This window comes from Homo sapiens, chromosome 4 (genome assembly GCF_000001405.40).
Source record: "Homo sapiens chromosome 4, GRCh38.p14 Primary Assembly".
In the NCBI taxonomy this organism is placed as follows: domain Eukaryota; kingdom Metazoa; phylum Chordata; class Mammalia; order Primates; family Hominidae; genus Homo; species Homo sapiens.
In genome coordinates this window covers 74,153,947-74,181,617 of record NC_000004.12, presented here as the reverse complement: position 1 = coordinate 74,181,617, position 27,671 = coordinate 74,153,947, and the positions used below count along the sequence as shown (strand labels likewise).

At 36.5% G+C, this 27,671-nt stretch overlaps 1 protein-coding gene across 22 annotated transcripts in view, besides 3 other annotated features; it reads right to left on the bottom strand.

The window, feature by feature from the left end:
- Window positions 1–27,671, bottom strand: part of MTHFD2L (methylenetetrahydrofolate dehydrogenase (NADP+ dependent) 2 like) — a 188,540-nt gene that overhangs the window by 121,482 nt on the left and 39,387 nt on the right. For 7 of the 22 annotated variants that reach the window (XR_001741223.3, NM_001144978.3, XM_017008219.3 and 4 more), the window contains exons 1-3: window positions 23,337–23,500; window positions 6,928–7,112; window positions 6,215–6,337 (exon numbers count right to left, since the gene is read on the bottom strand). Coding sequence is in view for 20 of the 22 variants with exons in the window: in NM_001144978.3 (NP_001138450.1) it covers window positions 6,215–6,337; window positions 6,928–7,112; window positions 23,337–23,479 (451 nt within the window). In the remaining 2 variants the exon portion in view is untranslated. Of the gene's footprint in view, window positions 1–751; window positions 932–6,214; window positions 6,338–6,927; window positions 7,113–8,068; window positions 9,841–19,364; window positions 21,564–23,336; window positions 27,544–27,671 lie in introns of those variants that run through there. The other 15 variants (XM_047415712.1, XM_047415715.1, XM_047415716.1 and 12 more) reach the window with 8 other exon arrangements.
- Window positions 16,703–16,832: an enhancer, noted in NCBI's record as "active region_21614". NCBI's record gives its function as "activates an Ori minimal core promoter by ATAC-STARR-seq in GM12878 lymphoblastoid cells {active_cell/tissue: GM12878}" and the evidence as "EXISTENCE:reporter gene assay evidence [ECO:0000049][PMID:35858748]".
- Window positions 22,846–23,602: an enhancer, noted in NCBI's record as "H3K27ac hESC enhancer chr4:75023733-75024489 (GRCh37/hg19 assembly coordinates)". NCBI's record gives its function as "activates a minimal SCP1, AML or CMV promoter by ChIP-STARR-seq in primed H9 embryonic stem cells {active_cell/tissue: H9 hESC(primed)}" and the evidence as "EXISTENCE:reporter gene assay evidence [ECO:0000049][PMID:30033119]".
- Window positions 23,603–24,361: an enhancer, noted in NCBI's record as "H3K27ac hESC enhancer chr4:75022974-75023732 (GRCh37/hg19 assembly coordinates)". NCBI's record gives its function as "activates a minimal SCP1, AML or CMV promoter by ChIP-STARR-seq in primed H9 embryonic stem cells {active_cell/tissue: H9 hESC(primed)}" and the evidence as "EXISTENCE:reporter gene assay evidence [ECO:0000049][PMID:30033119]".

The window sequence follows — 27,671 nt, the reverse complement described above, 5'->3', positions numbered from 1 at the left end:
TCTCAGAGAGCAAGTAAATACAAAGCGGGTAAGCAAGCATCTCTCTTGATGCTCTCTTAAATTTCTGCTGTAGGACTGTGACTATGGTACGAAGGATGCTACACTTGGTTCTCTTGACAACGCTCTGGTACTTACTCACTGAGTGAACTCACACCAGTTACTCAGTTCACTCTTTTTCCTTAACCACAAACCTCAGATAGAAATAGCATCTACTGGTAAGGATTGCTGTGAGTAATAAATGATTTATTGTATATAAAGCACTTCTGTACAGTGTTGGCATTAGTAAATAGTACATATTTACCATTCCTGACACTTGTAACAGCTGTCATGAAGTCACAGTTGTGAAATACCATATTAAAATTTCATTGAGTTGATAATTGTTTTCAGCCTTAGATCTAAATGTTTTCACACAGTTCATATAATTTAAACCCTCTTAAATCAAATTCACCCTGCACCAAATTCTATTCTATAACAAACATTTATAGCAGAATTCCAGTGTGCTTCAAGTTTGTGAATATTATAATTTCCCTTTTATTATTCTAGTTTGAAAAGGATGCCACTGGTTCCCAGTTTTAAAAGACTATTTTTCTAATTACTTTACTCTATACAAAGATACATACTCCAAAAATTTAACTTTTAATATGATATCAGTTTAATACAGATAACTCAATAAAAGCTAAAAAAAAATAAAATAAAATGCCTACTTAGAAGAAAAAAAGAATATAACATAAATAACAGACCCCTTTCTTACCTCGACAAAGTGACCACTTATTGATAAGAATCTCTGCACGGTCAGGACAGGAGTAGGAAAGCATCTGCATTCGGTCATTTTTATTTCTCCTTAGCTTTAGGGTCAGCTACTGGACAAAGAGCAAGCCTGTGTACTCTTATATCCCGAGCATTTCAAATCCTGAACAAAGTTGCACAGCTTCTGAACATAAACAAGGCTTAGCTTGTGACAGTCCCAGTACCATTAAACAGGACAGAATTCTATCTCATTTCTTTGCTTGTTGCTCAAATGAGATGCATGGAAACTCCCTGCACATTCTGTTTAATTCTTATGCAAACCTGTCTTCAAACATTAGAATTATAATTCTAACTTGGAATTTATTTTACTCAAGACATTGCCATAATTGTGAGAAATCTCAGATTTCTAATGATAAAATAATTTGAAATACACATTTACTAACCAAATTATAGAAAATAATTTTATATTATTAAGCTTGAAGGTGTAATCAACTAGACTCATTCATTTTTTCATTTGCTTATTGTTTAATTTGTTCATTATAACAGTCTTATGAGATATACATAGGAGAGGCTGTATTCATCTACTTCTATACAGCCAATCTATCAAAATAACTAATGAGCTCCATTTATTCTGTAAAACATGAAGGCTGATGTCCAGCCCTTGCTGGACATATCAGAGAATAGTTAATAAACTATTCCTAACCCTATCAGTTGAGTTTCATAACCAAGAGACAATTTTTGTATTTCCCAGCCTGTCTTTGCCAGTTTTTTCATAGTAAATTCTATAACATAGGTAAAAATGATATAAATAAATGACAATGGAGTGCAAAAGGGAACAGTTCTTATTTGTAAGAAAACTAAGCTGAATGATCTGGAAAGACTCTCAAGAACTAAAAAGCATTAGTATGACTTAGGTAACAGCAAGGCGACTTTGAAGACTGGGAGACATTTTGAAAATCTAGATGAATTTTCACTGTTACACCGCAACCTGAAAATTACAGGCAATGAATTATAAGTATTATTAATGCCAGAAGATGATGCAGAAGTCCAATCAGTGGGCTCCAGAAAGCTTTTAATCTATGTTAAAGATTGATGAATGAATATTTAAATTATTTATTACATAACACAATGTTTAAGGTACATATGCATTGTTTTACAATTTTCTACTTTAACCAACTTTTTCTATTAACTAACAAACTATATGTTCCCAATATGTAGTATAAAAGATCGATTTTCAATTCTCTTTTTATGAGGAAAGTAAGACTCATCAAAGTTAAGTAACGGTCAGTAAATCACAAAGCCACATTATAAATTCAGACTGTATATACCCATATTTGAATAATATCTTCTGCTAGCAAAAATGTACCAAAGTGCAATTACTAAAATGGAGGCTACTTTGAAAGGAATAGTATATTTAATATGTCTTTAATCCCATTGCTATCATTTTTAAACCTTACCAAAAAGAAATTATGAATAAAAATAGGAATACCATTATTGAGCAAGGTAAAAATCGTAAAAAATATAGGTTATAAGTATGGAAACAGGGAAACCAAACGATCAGCAACTTGGTGGTTACATGTGCTAGGAACTTGTATGTGAATGTTTGAAATATATGTGCTTACGTTATGCCTTACTATGTTCTGAGAGACAGTAAAACGTAACAAGAAGTTTAAAAGGCAGGCTCTGAAATCAGTTGATCTGGGTTTGGGTCTTGGCTCTACCATTTACTAACAGGTAATACTGGTCAATTCACTTAACCTCCCTGTGTCTCAGTCTCTTTAACTATAAAATGAAGAAGTTAATTCTTATCATATAAGGGTGTTTGTAGGATTCAATAAAATAATCCAGGTAAGGGAGTGCCTGCCACATAGTAAGCACACATGACTCACTAGATAACACTGATGTGCCAGTGAGGGTGCTAACATAATCGGTAAGAGTATTCTTGGCATGGGGGCCAGTCTGCCCGGATTCAAATCCCAACTCAGTTACTTAGCAACTCTATGAACTTGGAAGAAGTTACTTACCCTCTTCACGCCTCAAATTTCTCATCAGTAAAAAATATATAATAGCTCCAGCTTCACAGGATTATTGTGAGGATCCAATGGGTTAATAAATACAAAGTGCCATTTGTAATATAAATGGCATACAAAAGTGTCATAATGTAATAAATGTTAGCCACAATTTTGGCATTATTGGCTTTTTGGCTACATAGAAAACTGCCCTTTCTCAGAACATCCAGATTTTTTTTTTTAATCACTGTGGTCACTTTAGCTCTATGCTTCTCACACTCTCTGTTTGAGACACTCAAACAATTTAGTCTCTAGCACAGGACTCAGGCAATTTAGTATTTAATACAGACAAATCACCAGTGCCATCTAGCAGCGAGCTGCTAATAAATTCACCAAATAAGGAATGTTGCTCAAAAGGGGTAAAATTTCTACAGATATAAAATCCAACGTAGTTAGAAATCTGTGACAAACTAAATGTAATGTACTTTGAAAACTATGACTATTTTAATACTTTTAAATTAACAAAGAAAAATTTGTAGATATGTGTGGTGTACAATGTTTTGACATATGTATACATTATGAAACAGCTAAGTCAAGATATGTATTTTTGTGGTGAGAACATTTAAAATCTACTTTCTCAGCAATTTGCAAGTATATAGTATGTTGTTATTAGCTAAGTCACCATGTTGTACAATAGACCTCCACAACTTATTCCTGTCTAACTAAAATTTTGTATCCTTTAACCAACATCTCCACAATCCCCTCTCCAGTCCTCAGTCCCTGGTAACCACCATTAACTCTATGTTTCCATGAGTTTACTTTTAAAAATTCTACAGGTAAGATCATGCAGGTTTTTCTTTTTGTGCCTAGCTCATTCTACTTAGTATAATACACTTCAGGTTCCATGTTATAGCAAATGACAGGATTTCATTCTTTTAAAAAGTTGATTCTTATTTCATAGTGTATATATACAACAACATTTACTTTATCCATTCAGCCACTGATAGACACTAAAGTTGATTATGTATCTTAAAGTAATGCTGCAATGTGCAGCATTACTTTAGGAGTGCAGATATCTCTTTGACATACTGATATCATGACATTTGGATATATATACAGAAATGGAATTTTTTGATCATACGGTATTCTATTTTTAATTTTTTGAGGAACTGTCATGCTGTTTTCTAAAATGACTGTACCAATTTACATTCTAAACAGCAGTGAGCAAGGGTTCCTTTTCTCTACATCCTTGACACTTACCTCATTTTCTTGATAACAGCCATCCTAACAGGTGTGAGGTGATATCTCATTGTGGTTTTAATTTGCCTTTCCCTGATAATTAGTGAAGTTTATCATTTTCATATACCTGTTGGCCATTTGTATGTCTTCTCTTAAGAAATGTCTTTTCAGGTCATTTTGTGTAGAATGGACATTTTAAGAATTAATGTTGTGACATGTTTATACAGTTATTGAAATGTCGTAGAAATGCCAAGTAGAGAAAATTTCAAAAACTGCAAACTATAAGAAGATTGCTTGATAAATACAGTACCAACAGGAGATTCATTGTGAGTGAGTCAAACAATTGAGAAACACTGTTAAAATTTTTTGGACAGATTTGTGATGTTAATAAACTCCTGATCTTCTCTAGATCTCATTTTCCTATGATATAAGAGTGCTGCACGTGTTGAATTTTTTTTCTAGTTTTAAAGGTAAGTGATACTATCACTATACTAACTTTAACATCATTAATGTAAGCATTATCTGCCAGAGCATTTTTCTCAGGGGGAAAACTGATAGCTTCTGAGATTCTTATTAACTTGATGATTTTTGTCAGTGCAGCTATATTGGAGGAAAAGAATTAGAAGTATGAATTTTTGATATAATGTAAACAGCACAAAAGCTATAACATATGCTAAGTAAGATATTACATTATATTGCTGGATAAAGAAAAATATTAATACCACATAAAGATCCCATATAATAGCATTATATAGCTTTACTTTTTGCACATCACGATTGTTAATCAAAGCTTACAGAACTCAAAACTACAAAGCTACTGTAACCTATACTATACCTGCAGTCCTCATTTTGCGCAGTTTAAATATGCACAAATTTCAGAACAACAATTCAGTTAAATAATACTAGTCCTCCAATAACACATTTCAAATTTCATAGTAATTATACAAGAGCTGCTAGCTCTTTAGTCCACAGATCACTACAGAAATAACAGATGAGATGATGATCAGTGACCAGTCATAGCACTTCTTTCAAATGATTGGTCACTGCACATTTACAATCATCAAACATCGATGGCAAAGTGTTGTTTTCTCCATGTTTCCCAGAGATAAACCCACATGATATTTTACAAAAGTGGATAACAGACAGAGGGGATTAGCCTATAAAAGTGAAAGTATAGCAAAGAAACAAAATGTGATAATGCTGGGATGGAAACTGGATGTAAGTAGAAGATCTGAACAACAGCAAACAAAGACAAGAGAAACCTAGGCCCGCATGAAGCGAAGGTAAGTCTTATGTTGAAAAAGCCTGATAAACATAAAAAACAAAGTCATTTCAATAGGAATCTAATTTAATGTAAATGGAGTTGTAGGAGAAATAGCTGACCATAGAATGCTGACACTGAATCCTTTGGAGAGACGTAGTTACGCAGCCAGAGGAACTTAATGAGGGTGAATCCATCACACAAACGAGGAAAGTGATCGTAATAAAAAAGACAACAACATCTCAGATGAAGTGACGCCAATGTGAAACTTCATACTGAAATTCCTTTAAATGTTAAGGAACTCTCAGAGAAATTTCACAACATTGAAAGTAGAATAGACAAAATACTGGGAGCTAATCTAAACTTTGAAAGGAATATAACAGTTCAATTCACCAAGACATAGAAAAGATGCCCATTCCATATGATAAGTTATAGAATTAGACAGAAGACAAACACTGCTCCAACTACTTTTGACGAGCTTTTGCAAAGATATCATACACTTTCTCAATGTTTCTAATGTTTTAAATTAGAGTGTACTAAAAAACATTAGCTTAGTTTTACTAATTATTCATTTCCCTATACATTTATGAACCACAGTAGGAGAGTTTTCAATGCTTGGATAAGAAGTTTTAAAGGCCACAGAAAAATTGTTATTTTTACCTTTGATTATTAAGATCACATTACCTGGTTTCATCTTACATCGTCATTTTTAGAGACCCATACTACTGTGCAAAGCAAGGAGTGTATGTATTGCCAATGCTTATATTTCACTTTCAAGGATTTTGTCCATGTAAGCACAAATCATTCAGAAATCACTATTACACCTATTACTAGTAAAATAGCTAGTCTCCTTCTGAATGTATTTTATAAATTACTTGCAGTATCATAATATGATGTTGAAAGATGCCCTTTGTTTCACTTTTAACAAAATCAGATAAATAAGAGGAGCATTATGTACCTGGTAGTGGTAACTGAACTAATATACCGCTGACTCTTGGGTCCATATTCAATTGATCAGTTACGTCCAAAAGTTCTTCCTGAGAAACATCCTTAGGTTTTAGAATGAGCTCACTACAAATACCTAGAAGAAAAACAGGTAGAGAAGGTCACTTGACTAACTGAATATGGTTTTTCATCAATAGTGTCTGACACAGTGTGGGACTGTTCCTACTGCCGTGAAAGGTTCTGATGTTCCATGCATCATCAGGAAGGATTTCTCCAATAGTACAGGTGTTTCCTCTTGATCCACATGTATTCTTTGGCCTGGAATGCCAGGTGACAATTTGTACTTGTTTGAGATAAGCTACTGTTAGTAGATTTGAAGAGAATAAAAATATCACTACCATGCAACTATTAGGCCAAGTTTAACAGAGTGAACAAGCCAGGTTTATTATTTGATTAAAGCAAATATAATGAAAGCAGGCCTTTTAGATGCAAACTATCCTTTGCATATCTTGCCATAGAATATAAAACACACTGAATTAACCCTATAAGAAATTTGAAGAAAAATCATATGAAATTAACATAAGCTTTGGTAACTGAATAATCTTTAATAATAATACATGCAATTCAAATGGCACTTATTTGATAATTATCATTCATAATTATCACAATTTGAAGTAAAAACAGAAAACATATTTAGTAGTAATTACAACTAAAACACACACCCACCTACAGCAGAGGCAGCTCTTATCTTATTCCTGACATATGTATGGCTTGCTGGGTTATCTCCCACTAAAATTATACTGAGGTGAGGTCTTCTGTTTCCAAGGGAAACCCATGATTCCACACCTCGCTGTATTTCTTTCTGGATATGCTTGGCCATTTCGGTTCCTGATATAATAATGGCTTCATGTCTGTGGAAAGCAAAACAATAAATACTAAAAAGAAAATAAGAAACACTCAACTGCACAAATTTAAGGTACAAAACTCAATAAAACCACCATGATTCTCCAAGCACCCAAAATTTGATTTTTTTTTCAATTATAGTGACACCTACTCTTCAGGTTCATAAATATTTTATAATTTTGTGAAGGATTCCAACTCTGTTATTTAGTTCTACAGTATAATCTATCTGCTATAAAATGAATGTGTATGTCTCTTCAAAATTCCTATGTTGAAATCCTAACCCCAAATGTTATGGTATTAGGAGGTAGGTCCTTTGGGTGGTGATTACACCATGAGGATAGAGCCCTCATAAGTGGTATTAGTGTCCTTTTAAGAAATTCCAGAGATCTCCCTTGTGCCTTCTGCCATGTGAGGACATAGCACGAAGACAGCTATCTATTAACCAAAAAGCAGGCCCACACCAGACACTGAACCTTCTGGTGTACTGACCTTGGACTTCCCAGTCTACAAAACTATAAGAAATTCATTTGTTTTTGTATAAGCCAACCAGTGTACAGTATTCTGTTATAGCAGCTCAAATAGACTAAGATGCTAACGACAGTGTACATTTCTTCACAACTTTCACATACATATATAAAACATATATATTATATACACATATGCATACATATGTATATACATATACACACATTTATGTATTCATATAAATTATCAAACCACATACTCAAGATCTGGACTATAATATTGCCTAAATTTAAAGTTCTGCTATTTTTTCTAAAGAGGCAGATCAATCAGCACAGCCTAGTTAAAACTGGCAACCATCTTGAAGACTGGACTCCACTATGTATACACGTAGCCCCACAATCTTGTGACCCTAAGGCGAAATCAGTTCGTTTTTGGTTAGCATATCCAGCACAAGACTCTGAAGTCATGAGCTTCATACTACACAACTCTTTTAACTTACTCAAAGAAAAATGTTATTCCATGGCCCCAGGCATGGCCCCGGACAACAGCTGTGAGTCTTGCCATGCTTGTCACTGATTATGGTGGGGATCAGGTCAGTAAACCGATAGTTTAGTTCCTTCCCAATGCAATGGCATCATTTCTAATGGAGTAAGTTTCCACAGAAGATTACTTCCTGGCAGTTTATAAGTATTTCAGAAGGTAAGAAGTGCCATAATTTGATAGATGATATAAACTATCTCTGGAAAGGCACAAAGAAATACTTTCTAGAAAGGCTTTTCTGCTCTCCATGACCTCAAACTTGAAAGTGGTGAATTACATTGCTCTTACTGTGTGTTTATTTTTTTAAAGGTATCTGATAAAGTAGAAGGTGGTCCCTTCTTCCTTCTGCCCCTGTCCTTTCATTATTGAATGGCCCGGTAAAAACATGATTACTACAAAAAACATCAAATGTAGGTAAATAAATATTATGAAAAGGAGGAAAAGGGAAAGAGTAAGAAGCAGAAGAGAAAGAGGAGGAGGAAAGGAAGCCCTTATAAACCTTAATTCTTTGTGGTATCTGTACACTTTTAATTTTCTAATGAGGGCGGGTGCTATAAATATCCGACAACACACAAAATGCAAACTTTGTGCTCCTTCCAAATAAGTCAACTGCTCTCTCTAGCAGGTTTGTGGACGTATAGGTAGAACTTGATCGAAAATACACCATTATAGCATGGCACCAGTCTTCCACTGCATTCATCTCAGTTCATGCAATTTTGATGTAAACAATGTTCTGCTAAGAAGCAATTCCAAGCGTGGTCTATGGATACACACATCAAAAACTGCCTGAAATTGCAGATTCCCAGACCCCACAATCCACATCTACAATTCAGAATTCCTGGGGGCAGGGGAAAAACCTGGAAATCTGCATGTCTAATAATTTCCTACATGTGATTCTTGTGTATGACCATGTTTGAAAACCACTTTAGTTTACCATAAAAGTGTATTTTAATAACAATCATAATTTATGAGTAAATAACTGAGCAAATTGGTTAGACAATACAATCACAACTAGACATTCTAAGTAAACTCTACTTTTGATTCTAATTTTGTCTACTCTTCATTAAAATTTTAATAGCTTTCAAGACATGAAATGTCATGATGAATTCAATATAATAATCTTGTTCTGCTGTCTTATTTCTGTAAAAGATTTATTCAGTATAATTGTCATATAATAAACTGGACATATTTAACATGTACAAGTTTAAGTTTTAATATATGTATATACCTGAGAAACCATCACTATAGTCAAGAAAATGAACATGTCTATCATTCCCAAAACTTTCCAGGTGCACCTTTAAAATTTTGCCATTCCACCTGTCTCTGCCAGATTCCACTCCTCAATTCACCATTCCAGGCAACCATTGACCTCTTTTGTTCAGTATATATTGGTTTGTATTATGAATAATTTTATAAAAATTGAATCAAATACTACATACTCTTTTTTGGCCAGCTATTTCCACTCAGCATAATTATTTTTTAATTGATTCACATAGTTGCATGTTTGAATGGTTCATTTCTTTTTTATTGCTGAGTAGTATTACATTGTATGGATATACCAATATTTGTTTATCCATTCGATTGTAATTAATGGATATTCGGGTTCTTTCCAGTTTTTGATCATGACAAATACAGCTGTTACAAACATTTTATAACACATATGCTTTAATATATTTTGTACACATATGCTTTAAAATATTTTTTTTGTGGGGGACAGGGTCTCCATCACCCAGGCTGCAGTTCAGTGGCAAGATCTCGGCTCACTACAACCTCCGCCTCCTGGGTTCAAATGATTCTGATGCCTCAGCCTCCAGAGTAGCTGGAATTACAGACATATGCCACCATGCCTGACTAATTTTTGTATATTTAGTAGAGACGGGGTTTCGCTATGTTGGCCAGGCTGGTCTCGAACTCCTGGCTGCAAGTGATCTGCCCCTCTTGGCCTCCCAAAATGCTGGGACTACAGGTGTGAGCCACCACTCCTGGCCGCTTTAATTTCTTTTGAGCAAATATCTCAAAGGGGAATGGCTAGGTCACATCGTAAGTGTATGTTTAAATACGTTAAAAACTGTTACGTTACAAAAACACTGTACCACTTTGCAACTTTGCATTCCTTCAAACACTATATGAGTTCTGGTTGCTCCATATACTTGTCATCACTTCAGATGGTCAGGTTTTAAAACTGTTGACATTTTAGTGGACATATGGTGGTATGTCACTGTGCTTTAAATTTGCATTCCCTTAACGAATACTGATGTTGAACATCTTTTCATATGCTTATTTGCCATCTGTGATCTTCTTTAGTGAATTAAATAATTAAGTCTTTTGCCCATTGTTTAGTAGGTTGTTTCCTATTTTGAATTTTTTTAATTTTATTATTATTATACTTTAAGTTTTAGGGTACATGTGCACAATGTGCAGGTTTATTACATATGTATACATGTGCCATGTTGGTGTGCTCCACCCATTAACTTGTCATTTAGCATTAGGTATATCTCCTAATGCTATCCCTCCCCCCTCCCCCCACCCCACAACAGTCCCCGAAGTGTGATGTTCCCCTTCCTGTGTGCATGTGTTCTTATTGTTCAATTCCCACCTATGAGTGAGAACATGCAGTGTTTGGTTTTTTGTCCTTGCGATAGTTTGCTGAGAATGATGGTTTCCAGTTTCATCCATGTCCCTACAAAGGACATGAACTCATCATTTTTTATGGCTGCATAGTAGCCCATGGTGTATATGTGCTACATTTTCTTAATCCAGTCTTTCGTTGTTGGACATTTGGGTTTTTTTAAAGTTCTTTGTGTATCCTAGATTCATGTCCTTTATCAGATATGGGGTTTGAAATATTGTCTCCCAGTCTGTGCTTTGCCTTTTTATTCTCATGTTTTTAGAACAGTTCTTAATTTTAATGTACTCCAATTTATTATTTTTTCCTTTTATGGACCATGCTTTTAGTGTTGTATAAAAGAAATCTTTGCCTAATTCAAGGTCACAAAGGTTTTCTCCAGCGTTTTCTTCTAGATGTTTTATGGGCCTAAGTTATACATTCAGTTTATGATTTATGTCTATTTTTAGTTTGGTGAGAATTTGTATGAGGCTACTGCCAAGTGTTTTTTATGTCTATTGAGATGATCATATGTTTTTCTCGAGTGTTAGTCTGTTAATATGGTAACTGATCAATTTTCAAATGTTAAATCAAACTTGCATTCCTGGGATACATCCCAGTTGGTTATTATGTATCTATCCTTTCCAGACTATCATGGATTTCATCTGAAATTTTGTTAAAATTGTTGCATCTACATGCATAAGAGGTGTTTGTAGTTTTCTTTTCTTATAATGTTATCATGTAGCTTTGATACCAGGATGATGCTAGCTTCATAGAATGAGTTAGGAAGAATTCTATCCTCTTCAAATTTCCGGAAGAGTGTGTAAAGAATTGGCATTTTTTTCTCGCTTAAATGTTTGGTAGGATTCACCCATGAAGCTATCTGATTCTGGGGTTTTCTTTCTGGGAAGGTTTAAACCTACAAACTTAAATTCCTTAATATAGAGGGCAATTCAGGTTATCTAATATTTCTTGAGTGATTTTTGTAGCTTGTGCTTTGTACCTTCCAATACTTTGTATGTAATTATAAGCAAATCAAGTTAAAATAAAATAAAACTTTTGAGGTTTTTATTTTTCAAAGTAAAGTAACAAACTTTTTTCACTGTTTCCTATGAATTTCTGGTAAGGATATTTTATGAATTCATTTAAGTAGCCTTTTGGCACTAAGATAACAAGGATCTTTTATATTAGCAAATACTAAGAACTGCAGATACAGCAACAAATTCCAGCACAACTCATTTATAGGTAGTAGCAAATAAAACTTTCCATAAATCAATTTGTGTCAGCAATATTTTCTTGGGGTAGAACACTATTATAGAAGCAGATTCATCTGTTAAAAAAACTAGTAATCACCTAACACAGTAAGGAATATACATTCTATTTTAAAATATAAAAACATCTGAACTCTGTCTTGCATTTTATAGCATGTGAGTAGTGATGCTACTGCTGACACATTATTGATTCACTCACATTAAACAAAATAATTTGTTCACAGGCCACTGTGAAGCTGGCAATCACTGAGTATAATCTAGGCTAATTATGTCCTAGACAGTACAAATCTGCGTGACCTGGAGATTGTCAGAGAAGACCAATAGCATAAACTGATTCCCAGACTCCAAAGAGACAACCTGTATACAGATTAAACTTAACTGTACCGTGCATACTCAAGTCTAAGACTGTTCAGGGTTTACTTTAAATTATAGCACTGAGGTGCTAAGTCAGCTCGCTAACTAATTACAGCAGACATGATACAGCCTGGCTAGCTGGTGTTTATGGGTAAATTAGGAGTTAGGTCTCTGAGCATTTTCAGTAGCAACTGGCCCCTCCAACTGACTCCATCAGTCACCGTAGAGACTCAGCAAGCCTAGCTCTGTAGGAGTCACTGTAAGAGGCAAAATGAAGCAACCTCAAATTAATGCAGGTCCAATGAGAGAGTGCCTGTATTGGTCCATGTGCTGGAAGAACTAGTCAACTCACACATTCTCATTACTTTAGTGCATAAACAAATTAGATTTTTCAACATGAAAATTCTTGAAAAGCTAAAAAGGTTAAACATCAGCAACAATTCAAATGTTCAGCCCCTGAATAATACATCTCCTAAAATTTCTCTCCGGCTTGTCTTGATCTCCTCTAATCCATTTTCCATACTGCAGCCAGAGTGATTGTTTTCTAATTTAATTACAGCACCTCCCTGGTTAAAACTCCCCACCACATGCTCATTGTTTATTCACTTAACAAATATATATTGAAAGTCTCCTATGTGCTGAAAACTATTTTGGGCACTGGGAATATAAATAATAGGGCACAAAACAATTACCTACTTTTATGGAAACTATATTCTAGTTGAAGAAGATATAAGCAAATTGAAAAACAACAAGTATTTAATATGTGTAACATGAGGCAGAGAAAGGACTTATCTGAGGGCCAGAGTTATTTTACATAGGTGGGTTAAGATATCACTTCTCTGATAAATCAGGTGACACGTGGGCAGAAATGAATGAAATGAGTCATGTAGATTTCTGGAAGAAAAGCATTCTAGGCCAAGGGAAGGGAAGAACAAGTATGGAGGCCTTTAGCAAGGAGCATACCTGAAATCTTTGAGGAATAGCAAGAGGCCAATGGTTGCAGTGGAAAGAACAAGTGAACTAGGGTAAGACATGAAGTCAGAGAAGGAATGGGACATCAGATTATATAAGGCCCTGCAGGCCTTTGAAAGGATGTTGGCTTTTACTGTGAGACACGAAGCCATTTAGAGATTTTGACGTGACTTTCACTTTTAAAATAACTGGTGAAAATATGAAGGATAGACTCTATGAGATCAAGGGGAGAAGTGGAGACTCCAGCTAAGAAGCTAGTGTAGTATAACAAACAAGGGATCATGGGGAGTTAGGCAAAGGGGTAGCCATGGAGGTGCTAAGTAGTCTGATTCTGAATCTATTTTGAGAGTGGAACCCTTGGGAGTTACTGAGATTGGGTGTAGGATATGAAAAAAAGAAAAACAGAAGGCAAACATGACTCTAACATTTCTGACCTGAGAAATTGGGGGAAAAAGTTAACTAAAATCCCAATCCCCTATGGGTTACACACTTCTGCATGAGCTACTTTAGCCTCACTGTTAAAGAACACTGTGCTTAGTGAGTCGCGCACTACACACCAGTCATATTTTAATTCATGAACTGCACCATGTTCTCTCCAGATCTTCAGATATAATATTCCCTCTGCCTGAAACACTCTTCCTTCCCTTTCTCACCTCTCCAACCACTTTGCCAAGTCTGTCCCACACATTGCTCAAGTCTCAGCTTATAAAACACTCTTGTGATGTTTTCCCAACCCTGTACCCTGGGAATCTGCTGTGAGCTCCCACAGTACCTGGTTTTTACCCTTTTGTAGTATTTTAAATCACTGATATTGTCTAGTTGTCTACCTGTGTTCTCTGGATAGGCAGCCTGTAGCTCTCCATTTCTTTATGTCAATTATTGTTAATTTTGTTCTTTTTGTGGTGCCAGGTTTCCCTAATGGTTCACAAGCCTGTGGCCTTTCATTGCTGTCTATCGCTTGAAGAAGTAGGCGCCTATTCCAGTCTTTCTAAACTGGCTTCAGCAGGGAAAGCCCTTCACCAGTCAGTGGATCTAGAGATTCTTGATGGGCCATCCGGCATGGCCCATGGGTGGGCTTGCTGCTAAAGCCCTTGGATTAGTTGGCAGGTGATGCCTAGGTCAGCAGGTGGTGGGCCTAATGCTTCAACTCACAGGGGGCTAATCCGGTGCATGGGTCCACTGGGGTGGGCTGTCAACTGGGTATATAGGAGTAGTCCTGGAGCCTTGGTCTGCAAATACAGACCTGAAGCCTAGGTTCATAGGGGCCATCCTGGCACTGGGGTAGGTCTTGAGCCTGAGTCCATGGGGACCAGCCTGGCATTGGAATGGGTCTGGTCCCAAGTCTGTGGGGACTAGGCTTGCCCAGGGTCCTCTGGAATGGCCCTGGTACCTAGATCTGCAGGGGAAGACCTGGTACCTAGAACCATGGGGTTGGGTGCAGAGTTTGGGTCCCTGGGGATAGGCTTGGACCTGAATTAATGGAAGCTGACCTGGTACTGGGGCAGGCTTACAGTGTGGGTCCATGAGTTTCTACCTGATGCCTAAGTCTGCAGAGGCTCAGCTGGAATCTTTGGATGCTGCCCTGGCATTAGTGCAGGCCTAGAGCCTGGGTCTGCAAGGACTGGCCTACAAGCTGTGTCTGTGGGGGCTGGCCTGGCACTGGGATGGGCAACACTTGTTGCATTTTTTTCAAAAGTTGTTGGTCATTATTAATCAACATATTCAACAAACAGACCAAATGGGAGTAGGGACACCTTCAGATTTAAAGTTTTTAGTGAATTGTAATCAGTGAAACCAAAGCTTACAAACAGAAACCTTATCTCTTCAAAAGGAAGGGAAGAAGTAAACTAATTTAAAAAATCATAGCTCAAACAATGCACAAGTAATTTTAATTTCTGTCCTTACAAGAGAAGACACAGAGACACATAAAAAGGGAAGTGAAGACAGAGAGGGAAGACAACCATTTAACAACAGAGGCAAAGACTGGAGTTATGCAGCTGCAAACTCCTTAGGAACACCAAGGACTGCTGGCAATAACCAGAAGCTAGTCGACAGAGTGTGGGCCTACAGATACTTTGATTTCAGACTTCCAGCCTCCTTCCACTGTTTCCAGTGTGAAAACAGATTTCTGCTGTTTCAAGCTAGCTAGTTTGTGGAACTTTGTATACAGCAGAATTAGTAAATAAATACATCTATAATAGCAATTTTAAATAGTTCAATGTCTGAGAATAATCTTCTGATGGAACTCATATTTTTTGTTGAATAAAATTTCCTGGAATAAATTACCATTTTGTAAAACATTGGAATACAATTGAGAAAAACTTTAATTTTCCCCTATCTAAATATGGTAAACTATTTTTAAAATCATACACAAAAACAACTTATTTCTTTTATCTAAATATTTGTCAAAGAAAAGTACTTTGAAAAGATACACCAACATAGCACCTGTGAAAATATTTAGGCTAAAATATCTTCCCATTTCAATGTGCAAAATGTAGAATTAAGACTGTTCCATTTAGCAGTTTATGTGGTGTTTCAGCATCTATAGAGACAGTACCTTTAAAACTAAAATAACCATTGTCTAAAGCAAAGATTCTATTTGCAACTGTTAAGAAAATTGCAGAAAATTTAATTTTAAAATTAAGCACAAGGGCCGGGCCTAGTGGCTCACGCCTGTAATTCCAGCACTTTGAGGGGCCGAGGCGGGTGGATCACGAGGTCAGGAGTTCAAGACCAGCCTGACCAATATGGTGAAACCCCGTCTCTACTAAAAATAGAAAAATTAGCTGGGCGTGGTGGCATGCACCTGTAGTCCCAGCTACTCGGGAGGTTGAGGCAGGAGAATCACTTGAACCCAGGAGGCGGAGGTTGCAGTGAGCCAAGATCACACCATTGCACTCAGCCTGGGTGACAGAGAAAGACTCTGTCTCAAAAAAAATAAACAAAGCATAAGATCTTATTAACTTTTTTCAGAAAATTATCAGGATCAAGGTGTTAAAAGATACAGCTAAGAAACTGATTCAAGCATGTGAATATGCACCAGGAATAATTGTTCATGCTGAATGTTCATGTAATATAAATTTTTATTTTAACACATAAGGATATAAATTATCTTTTAAAATGTTAATTTTGAAAATGGTCTGAAACTATTCTATAAGTTCACTAATATATTTGTAAGCCAATAGATATTCCAAATATATAATTTTCATTACATTCGTGCCCCTTTTTACTCTAAAAAATGTGCTAGTTTGGCCAAAAAAATTACATAGTGACCTTGCCATTAATGCATATCAAAAATAAAATCCATTTGACCCCTTAGATATTGTTTACATGATGTGCCCTGTCATTACTTGCTCAGGTGGTTTCCCACAAAGGCAGAAATGACCTTCCCCTAAAGGCAAGAAAAGGTGCCCTCCCTTCCAAAAGCCCAGCCTACTGCTGGGCTAGCCACGAAATGTGGCTTCATCAGGAGGCAAAAATTAAAGAAGGGAGGTGGTGGCTAGTGAGTAGCAGGGCAGCACTATGTAGTACAAACTACTCACCTGAAATTAGAAGTCCTGAGCATCAGAGCTCTGGGTTACCATTAGTAGCAATAATAAAGTTAGGCAAGTCACTTAGCTTCTCTCAACGGCATGCAATTTCTTCATCTATATAATGGGAATACTCTCTTGTTGACCTTACATTACATAAGAGGATTTGGCTAAAAGTTCATGGGCTGGTTTGCAAAAGTGGCTCTTTCTCTTAGTTTCTGCTAAATTACAGATGGAGACATATTTCGATAACCAGAAACATTATGAGAGCAGAAAGTCTTCAGCACTTAGTGCTGTTTCCATGGGCTTGTTTACTTGTACTTCCAGAAAATAAACTAACCACCTTATCTACGCTTATTAGAATCAAATGATTTATTTAATAAACTAGAGCAAAATAACAAAGGGGGAGGATTATTTCTATGTATCAAAATACTCTTCCACAAAAAAGTAGCTTACCAACAAATAAAACCTAGTCAAGATCAAGAGTTTATTTAATTCGTATACTTGGCAAATCCATATCTTAGTTTCAATCTCATCTTTATTCACGACTTCAACTAGAGCTGCAATGAACCATTTTATCTCTATAATGTTGAAAAAACCTGGCCAGGCATGGTGGCTCACGCCTGTAATCCCAGCACTTTGGGAGGCTGAGGCGGGCGGATCACGAAGTCAGGAGATCAAGACGCATCCTGGCTAACACGGTGAAACCCCGTCCCTACTAAAAATACAAAAAATTAGCCGGGCGTGGTGGCGGGCGCCTGTAGTCCCAGCTACTTGGGAGACTGAGGCAGGAGAATGGCATGAACCCGGGAGGCAGAGTTTGCAGTGAGCCAAGATCGTGCTATTGCACTCCAGCCTGGGTGACAGAGCAAGACTCTGCCTCAAACAAAAAACAAAACAAACAAACAAAAAAAGACGAAAAATCCTAATAGAATGATTAACAATTCCAAGCTCTACCCAGGCCCTAACATACAGTTTAATTGCTTTATATCTTAGGGCATATCTTCGATGTCTTGAGTTTGTACAATAGAAATGAAACCCCCCAAAAACAGGGCAAAATTCCATAGGGAATAAAACCAATCACCAGTATAGGGAGTCTTTTGAAGTGTGTTATTAAAATAAATGAATACCTGCAAGTGTTAAGTTTATGACCTCTTTAAAAAAATTTGTTTCATACCCCAAGTACCCTATTCACATCTTGAAGTAATTTTACTAGAAATTACATCTGCAAATCAATAAAAAGTAAAATACCTTTTCATTATATATGACTCTTCTTCGTATCCAGTTTTTTAACTAGTTAACTTTCTGACTCTGTACTAAACAATATCCATTGTTTTCAAACTAACTTTGTCAGAAAGAACCTTAGATGCTAAGCTTTGTGCCACAAAAGCTCTTGGCCTATCTGCTGAAACCTGTGGACTCTTTCTCAGAACAATCCTTTTAAACATTCAATATAAAATACAGATTACAAGGAAAACCAGTTTTACTGAAATATTATCAAATGCTTTTTTTTAAAAGTATTAAATAACAGGATCTAGTGGTAGGTCTAACTACCATAACAAAATAGTGATGTGCAGATGATGTTTTGTGGTATCTGCCTCAACTTTGTGATACTGAAATATCTGTAAATTATATTAGCAAGTCACATGTACTGATGATATTATGTATTTGTTGCCAACACTAACAATGGAAAAAAAAAAATGCTCAATTTATCAGAAGTTAGTAACCTCCAATCCAAGTTTATGGATCCTCTGAATTCTATCCATAAGGTCCCAGGTTAAGAACATCTCAAACTGAGGGAATCTAACAAAATAATTTTAAAATTTACATGCAAAATTAGCTTTCTAGATTCACAAAAGTTGTATGAGATTTAATATTAATAAATGTTTCAAAAAGAAGAAAAAGTAAGATAAGTCAATAATTATAAACTGCTTGTAGAGAAGAACACCGGAAAGATGATGTGGGTTCAAGCCTTGTCTTCACCATGTATTTACTGTGTCAACTTGACAAGTTTAATTTCTTTAAGCCTCAATTTCTCAATCTGTTAACTGGGAATAGTAATAGTGTCTATCTACTTCCTTTAGTTGTTGTGAGGATCGAAGGACATACTGTATATGCAAAATCTCAGCAAAGTGCTTACCACTGACTAAGAGCTCCTTAGATATTAAGAAAATTGTATTTTTCAACAATACAACTGAATTCCTTAAAAGCATGATGGCATTCATTGCAGTTCCAGTTAATCACAAACAGCAAAAAAAAAAAAAAAAAAAAGTGGGGAGAGAACATCTGTTGTAAACTATACACACACCCTCACTTTAGAATTATGAATCTTTAGATCTTTAGATAGTCTTTGGATCTAGGAACACTCTAATGAGCCTAATTATAGAAACCTACATAGCGTTCAGATGATGCAGTGAACAAACCTGGTTGGTATGACATTGACAAGGACATGACCTCAATCTGAGAGTAAATTATTACATATTTTCCAAGAACTAGACAATAAAAAGCAGCAAGATGGTTAGGTAAGTTAGAGCCAATTGATTTAATGTAATATGACACAGTCATTGAAATGCTAATAAAAACAATAGCAACACAGAAACCACTTGTGATGTAACATTAAGTGGAGCAGCTGGCTAGGCCTTCTTGGATAATATCCCGCCCTGAATTCTTTAACACTACTGTTAATTTAGGTTCAGACTGTGTTCTGTTCTGACCATAAAGTTTTCTACATTGTATGTAAAATGTTGTCTCAGATCCAAAGTGAATTTCTTAATAGCAAATCTCATTTATTACTAATCATTTCTTTAATTTAGCATACTCATTTACAGCTCAAATTTCACCTAAGCTCCTCTCTTAAACCTCCTTCCACAACTTAATTATCTCTAAGCCAAAGTGTAATTTCACTGAGCTCCATGGGATTCCTTGAAAGAGTACGTGCCCATGAAAAGATCATCTGGTGCTGCTCCTTTCTGCTGTTTTCATCCTCCCATCAGGGTACTAATAGGAAAGAATAACAACTTCAAGGCATTTGAAATACAAAGATTTGGCTCATTAAAGAACTTGCCAAATTATTAGTAAGACCATGATTAACTAACAAGATCTAAAATTAATACTAGTCCCTCTTTTTCATGTACTGATCCATTTTAGTCAAAAATCTTGATTGTGGAGATATTAGAACACACTATCTCTGAACAGCTGGAACAAAGAAAATAAAACTTAAGATATGAGAGACCAAATGTTGAAACACTTAGTTTTTGAATTTAAAATGACATAAGAACTTCTTAGAAATCAAAATTGTAGCCAGATGGCTATTATATCTCATTTCAGTAGAACACATACAGCAGGAAGGTAGGAACACTACCCACATTATCACATTTGCCAACTAAATAGAAGATGATTTTGAGAAACTGCCTTTCCTAGTCATTAGAAGAGACAGAAATACAGAGTAAGTAGTAGAGGGAAGAGTCTGAAAAATAAAATGAACATTGTTACTGATAAAATGTGTCTTTTTAAATTATTAAACTTAACTACCCACGGTAAAAGACGTGAATACTTAAATAACACAAATAAGTATCTTTTACTAGTTCCAAAAATGTAGATTTTTTTAAAATGTGGTCTAGCTGCAAAAATTATACAGCCGATGCCAGTGCGACACAAAGAAAGGTGAAACTTCCATAAAGACCTGTAGGCAGTACACAATTTTTTTAAAAGCTAAAAGAAATAATAGTATGAAGACAAAAAAGAGAATCTACCAAATTAACGATTTGAGGATTCACTGAGCAACAGGATAAACATGGAATGCTTGGGATATCCATTTAGTTAATTAAAATAAGTAGTTCAGGTAGAATAAGCCAAAGCGGGTTTTGTGAAAGTCCCTGTGTTGCAGGATACCTGCAAATCTGCTTTGAGCATGGCATTAATGTGCAAGGTCTATAACCTTCCCACCCAAATGGGATGGGCTGCTATCAGACTCCTCACACTGAAAAGCAATGGGCACAAACTCATGTGATGCCTTTTAACCCAGGACATTTTGATTTGTAAACTCCTCAAATACCACAACAAAATGGGAAAAATTTAGTTACAAAGACTTTTTTTTTCATTTTTAACCTTTTGCCTGGATAGTTAATTCATTTCAAGAAACAATAAGCTGCAACAAGGGCTTATTTATTACTTTAACATTAATTTCCCCCAATTAATAAGACCTAAATTCTCATGCATAAACAGGAAAACAAATTCACTGCAAATTTTAAAGGAAAACTCATTGAGAGAAGAATGTTAAACGATACTTCAAAATACGGTAACTTCCAAACTCCATCAAACATTAATTATTGAAATTCTACTTAAAAAAGTTCTCCACTAAAAAGTACTGTAAATATTCCATTATTATAGGCATGTGGCCAAAATGTGAAAAAATAATCAAAGATACTTTTTCAATTAAGGCCCTACACAGCTCAGAAATGGTGATAAATCTGTTAATTTAAAACAGTCAATATCACTGGGATAAGAGTTTATCAAACTCAAAGGCAATTTTCAGTGAGAATAACACTAAGGTGTAAATTTCATGGCAAAAGAAAAGATGTCAGACTTAAACCACATTAACTATGAAGAACTAGACAACTAATGTGTCATTATATATATAAAAAAGATGACTGTGGATGGGGACAAGTGGGGAGGCAGACAGTGGCAACCTCTGGAAGATGGAATCTCTTCTCTCTGCTGGTCCTAGAAGAGAAAAGAGACACCAATAAGCATCAACACACTGTCCGAATTCCTCCCCACCCGAGACCCACCAGTCCACAGGTGTTTCTCAACCTTGGGGCCAACCTCACCTTCAGAGATGGTATTCAGTACAAAGAGGGCGTCAAAACCCCCGCCTTATCTTAACTTGCCTAGTGCCCTCTTTAAAAAATAAAAACTATCAAAATATATTACTTTTTTTATAACTATAATCTGCATCAAGTGGAACTGAAAGCAGCCGGGCTGAAATTAGTAACTCTTACAGTGCATAGGGATAATAGCTTTCCAAAACCTTTGCACTCAACTATTTTAAATTATAAAGAGGTCATTATGTGTAACTTAAAAGTTTTGAATTCTACATGAGTTGGTGTGTGTGTACAAAGCAAGGGGCTACAACCAAATTTTGGGGTTGTAACTGTTGTTTGTAATGACTTCCATTCAATGTATGCAGGTCATGGAGAAGATGGGGAGATGGAGTTGTTTACAGCAAGCTGACAGGGAAATTAATCAAGTTGTACTATTTGAAACAAGTTATCCTCACCCTGAAAAGCACCCCTAAAACAACTGAAATTCAAAAAATAATGATACAAACAAGTAATTTAGAGTGACGGCAAATAATTTCCTCAATTCTTTAAAACAAATAGAATTCTACAGAATCTGCTTTTCCTAGGTAGTAGATCTAGCTGGTAGTTCCAAACTAAGTGGAACATTCTTACCCAACCTACTACAGCTTACACAACTCTGATTCACTGTTATTTTCTCACATATCCTTGTGGAAGACCTAGTCACAAGAAATTATGTCCAAAGCAAATCCTATAGGAAGTAATTTTTAAATTCAGACACTCGAGACTAAGATCTAAATGTACACAATAGGGAGTTAACTGATTTAAATTAAATAAACAGTATCTAAGTTTCCACGTTACCAGTCATTGCTTTTCTAGGGATTGTGCTGGGCACTGGCGGATACAAAAACTCGAGTGAGACACAATTTTGGACGTAAAATGGCAATGAAAGCGCATTTCTGGAAGCCCTGAAAGTCTGAAAACAGAGGCTCTTCTGGACTCACAAGCTCTGGGTCAAGAAGATATATTTTCATCTTGTTAAGACGGATTTTGCAACTAAGACTGGTAAAGCATAAGATAGAAGAGTGCGTACCCTGTTGTATTTGCATGGTTCTTGCCAGCAACCAAGACATGTAATGAATCTAAGTCTCATCACCTGACAGAGGTTTAGGGAGGGAGAGCCATACATGAAAAGACTGAGAAATCTGGATTGATATTTGGTTTTGTGAAACCATAAATAATTTTAGAGTTGGAAAAGACTTAGACAACACTATTAACAAAGGAATTCAGAAACGCAAACATTAGTAAGTCATCTGCACAACGCCTACTCCTTTATTTACGAAACACTAAAATAACCAAAGTAAAAACAAATGTTTGACCAAGCCGACCACGTGTTTTTATACTACCTTTTCTTAGTGCCTCAAATGTCTTCCTAAATCAAGTGCACCTGCTGCAAAGATGGAACATTCTGGTGCGAGAGCCCAGAGCAGAGCACGTTTTCGTTCCCCAAGCTGAGGCAACTGCGACTCGCCCGCGCGACCGGCAAGGCCACCTCACAGACAAGGCTGTCCTCGACCCAGCCCGCCGCCGCGCGGCCGCCCACGAGCCTTGGGCCCCACGCGCGCGAGCGCCGCCCGCGCCCCCGCCGACCTCCCACCGCCAGCGGCTCCGCACCCGGCGCCCGCAGCCCTCGTACCTCACACCGCTGCTCCGAAAGCCCCGGAACGCACTCCCGGGCTCTCCCGGTGCCCTTACGGAGGGTGCTGTGCTTCTGCCCAACGCCGGCGCTCGGCCAAGGCGGCCGCGGAGCAGCGAGAAGCCGCGGACCGGCACCGTCATGGCCGCGGATCCCCGGCTTCCGGACTGGGGCTCCACCTCCCGCGACTCCAGTCCTCGCGGCTGGAGGCCTGGCTCCGCCCTCACCCGGGCTGGCAGGGCAGCAAGTAGCGCTTCCCAGCCAGGTTCCGGCAGACACGCAGAGTGGGGTAAAGAGCGGTTCCCAGGACCGGGGACGGAACTGACAGAGTGCCGGGTCCGCAGGGGGCGGGGCCAGGACCCAAGTCCCGGGCCCTCTGAGGATGTGGAAGCGTGCAGTGTGGCCTGGCGACTGGGCCCCGCACCCAGCCAACATATAGCTGGCATTCCCATAGCGACGGCACAGAGAAGGCCTCCAAACTATCACTTTAGGCAGCACGCCCCACTTTCCACCAAGCCAGAGATCCTGCCCAACAGTCTCCGTGACTACGTGGAATTGGATTTAAAGCAGGAAAGAAGTAATAGGTTCATTGTTTCCCACTTCCTTTGTGAGATTCCTTGGAAGTTGGAGAAAAGAACAAAGGTGTGTGGAGAAGGAGCAAAACCTGGCTGAACAAGGAAGGTCTGGACTTTAGGATTTCTATACTTCTACTTTATCATCTCCACTTTTGGAAGGAAATATTGACCAATATCTGTCTTTTCCTGAGTTATGATCAAGTCGATGCAGGCTAAGAACCCTGCATTGTGTGGTGAGCTTGTGTGGTGAGGAAGCAAAATATCTGCTCCCTCTGAAAAAGTAAAACATTAGACTGTCCATTCATTTTGCAAATTAAGACAGACACACAAAAAACAGTCACAGATAAAACCAGCTGGGAAGTTAACAGGAAACAACTTTTCTCCCAAGGTCAGGCTGCTGCTGTTGAGTCAGAACAACGTCTTTCATAGCTGCACTTTTACTGAGAAAACTTGTTTTTTAAAATCATAGACTGTCAGAAAATATGCTCTTTAAAATCATATCAATAAGAATGGGATACCCTACTCTTTCCTGGCTGATCTAAATCCATTTGACACAAATAAGCAGCCTAGAAGAAAATACAGGAAAAAATCTAGGTGACCTTGGGTTTGGCAATGAGACTTTAGATAAAACACTTAAATCACAATTCATAAAAGAAAAAAACAATTTAAACTTCTGCCATGCAAAAGACACTGTTAATAAAGAAACAAATCACATACTGGGAGAAAATATTCGCAAAACATTTTTACAAGACTTACACCCAAAATATACGAAGAACTCTTGAAACTCAACAATTAAAGAAAAAAGAAAAGCAACTCAGTTAAAAGTGAGCAAAAGATCTGAAAACACCCACCAAAAAAGGCATACAGAGGTCAAAAAAAATGGAAAAATATTCAATATCATTTATCATTAAGGAAATACAAATTAAAACAACAGTGAGATACCACTACACTCCCATTAGAACCGCTGAAGTCCAAAAAATTGATAATACGAAATGCTGGCAAGGATGTGTGGCAACAGGAACTCTCATTCATTGTTGGTGAATAAAAAAATGATTCAGTCACTTTGGAAGACAGTTTGGCAGATTCTTACAAAGCTAAATATCATTTAACCATGCAATCCAGCAACCATGTTCCTATGTATTTACCCAACTGATTTTAAAATATGTCTGCAATAAACCACCATATGAATGTTTATAGCATCTTTATTCATATTCTCCAGAAACCAAGATGTTCTTAAATAAGCGGTGAAATATTCATACAATGGGATATTATTCATCAGTGAAAAGGAGCAAGCTACCAAGCCATAAAAAGACGTAGATGAATCTTAAATACATACTGATAAGTGAAGGAAGGTAGTCTGAAAAGGCTACATACTGCATGATTTTTATTATATGGCATTCTATAAAAGGCAAAATTATAGAGTCAGTTAAAAGATCAGTGGTTGCCAAAGGTTAAGAAGATAGGGTGGAGGTTTGAATAGTGTGTAGCACAGAGGGTTTTTAGGACAGTGAAACTATTTTGTATGATACTGTAATGTTAGACACGTGACACTATGCATTTGTCAAAACCTACAGAACTTTACAACAGGAAGAGGGAAACAAAGTATACCATATTAAAAAATATTATTCACATTGGAAAATTATGTTTTCTGCAGTGTTATCAGAATCAAGACTCTGTTTATTCTCCACAAGACTTGCATAGAAAAATAAGATATTAAATTTTGTTTGTATGTTCTAAATACATACAAACATTTTACACATTTTATCTAGATGTGTAAAAGTGTTTTTTTTTTTTTTTAAATCACATGGAATGGCTTTTTCAGTACTAAAAAGTGGAGGGACATTTGTTTAAACAAGTATTTCAAAAAGAAATATGTACATCATCCTGAAAATTATTTGTGGTAAGGAAATATTCTTTACTCCTGTTGCATTTCTCAGACAATAAAGGGGTGAATCCATGCTACCTCATATTTTATCAACAAAGATTCTATTTACCCTTTATATTTTTGTATGATAATAGATTTTAAAAATCTAATGTTCTTTATTGCAGACATTCATTTGTTAACAGATTTGTTTCTTTTTTAATGTTTTACCTAAAGTTTGACATGCTTTCAGGACAGATTTGCCTATTACTTTATTTAACATTGTAGAAATGTAATTAACAAACAATTCTCACTACACAATTTAGAATAGACATTATTTTATATCTTCCAAATTTGATCAGTTAGCAAAACTTAATACACCAATTAAAATATTTCTACATATGATGAGAATGTTTACAGTGTAAAGTTTAGAACTTGTTTTGGATGTGATTATATGCATGAAAATCATGTAACACTGTACTCATGCTAAGAACCGACATAACAAAATTACTGAAATAAATGTGCTGTGAGGAATGGAAAAAATACATTATTTAGCAGGTTGGTGGTTTCCAGGAAGGAATGAAGGTTGTGACAAGATAATCTAACTGTATTACACTTATATGAAACAATCTCACGGGAAAGACTGCGGAAAAGGTGCTGACCTAAATAACTGGAATTGCAAGGTTAAAAATCTAACAATAGAAGAAACTGCACATAGGCACTGTGCTCTAGTTAATAAAGTTGTTGATTTACATTACCAATTCTGATATGACTATACATGTATACCAGAATTAAACAGTTATTTAAATGGAAGTGGATGATAGGAGCCAGGTTCCTCATTTTTGGAGTGGCAATTTACAGATAAGCAATGGGAGGAGGCTAGAATAATCCATATGATAATGGATTAGAGTTGGGAACATCAGTTTTAGCTTAATACAAATACAGATGGTTACATATACAAATATTTATAGATGTATGAATATTCAGGAGTTAGTTTACATACATATATTTATTTGCTTTGCCAGCTGAGAATGCCTAAAACAACACCCGAAAGCAATAAGCACACCTTCAGCCCAGATATTGGTTTCTAATGTCATTCTACAATAACAGGAACCAGGACTCCTTGGAAAAATTGCTGATTCTAGGCTCAGGAAATATATTAGATGATCCTAGAGCATCGTGTAATTCTGGAAAGTAAGGAACTCAAATAAATCCCACATTGATGGGGATATGTCAGGGACAGGAGCCAACTGAAAGGGTTCCTCATGCCCAAAGATGGAACAATTTGAGTAGTAAAATAAAGTAGTGTTGGATTATAACCCGAAGTATAAAATTAATATCCATGAGCCCATAATCATATAAATAAATATGTGATTGAATAAATAAATAAATATGGGAGAGAAGAAACATGATGCAGAATTCCTAAAATTTATGTAGATACTCCACTCTGAAGGAGGAGTAGAATTCTTCACTTCTTAAATGGGAACTGATGATAGTGACTTCCTTTCAGAGTTCAGTTTAGAAAATGGGAAAAGAGAGTAACTTACCTATGGAGAAACCTGACAAACACTACCTCAGACAGTGATCAGGATTAACATCAACACCAATATATCATACTGATAGGATGGATACTTGATATAATGTGGCGAGAATTGTACTTTACCTCTGCAATCTTCCTGCAAAACCTGTAACCCCAGTCTGATCGTGAGAAAAACAATTAAATCCCAACAGAGGGACATCCTACAATATACCCGAAGAGTATGTCTCAAAACTGTAAAGACAATCAAAAACAAGGAAAGTCTAAGAAACTGTCACAAGTAAGAAGAACCTAGAAAAACATGACAACTAAATATAATGTGATATCTTGGATTGGATCCTGGAACAGAGAAACAGCATTAC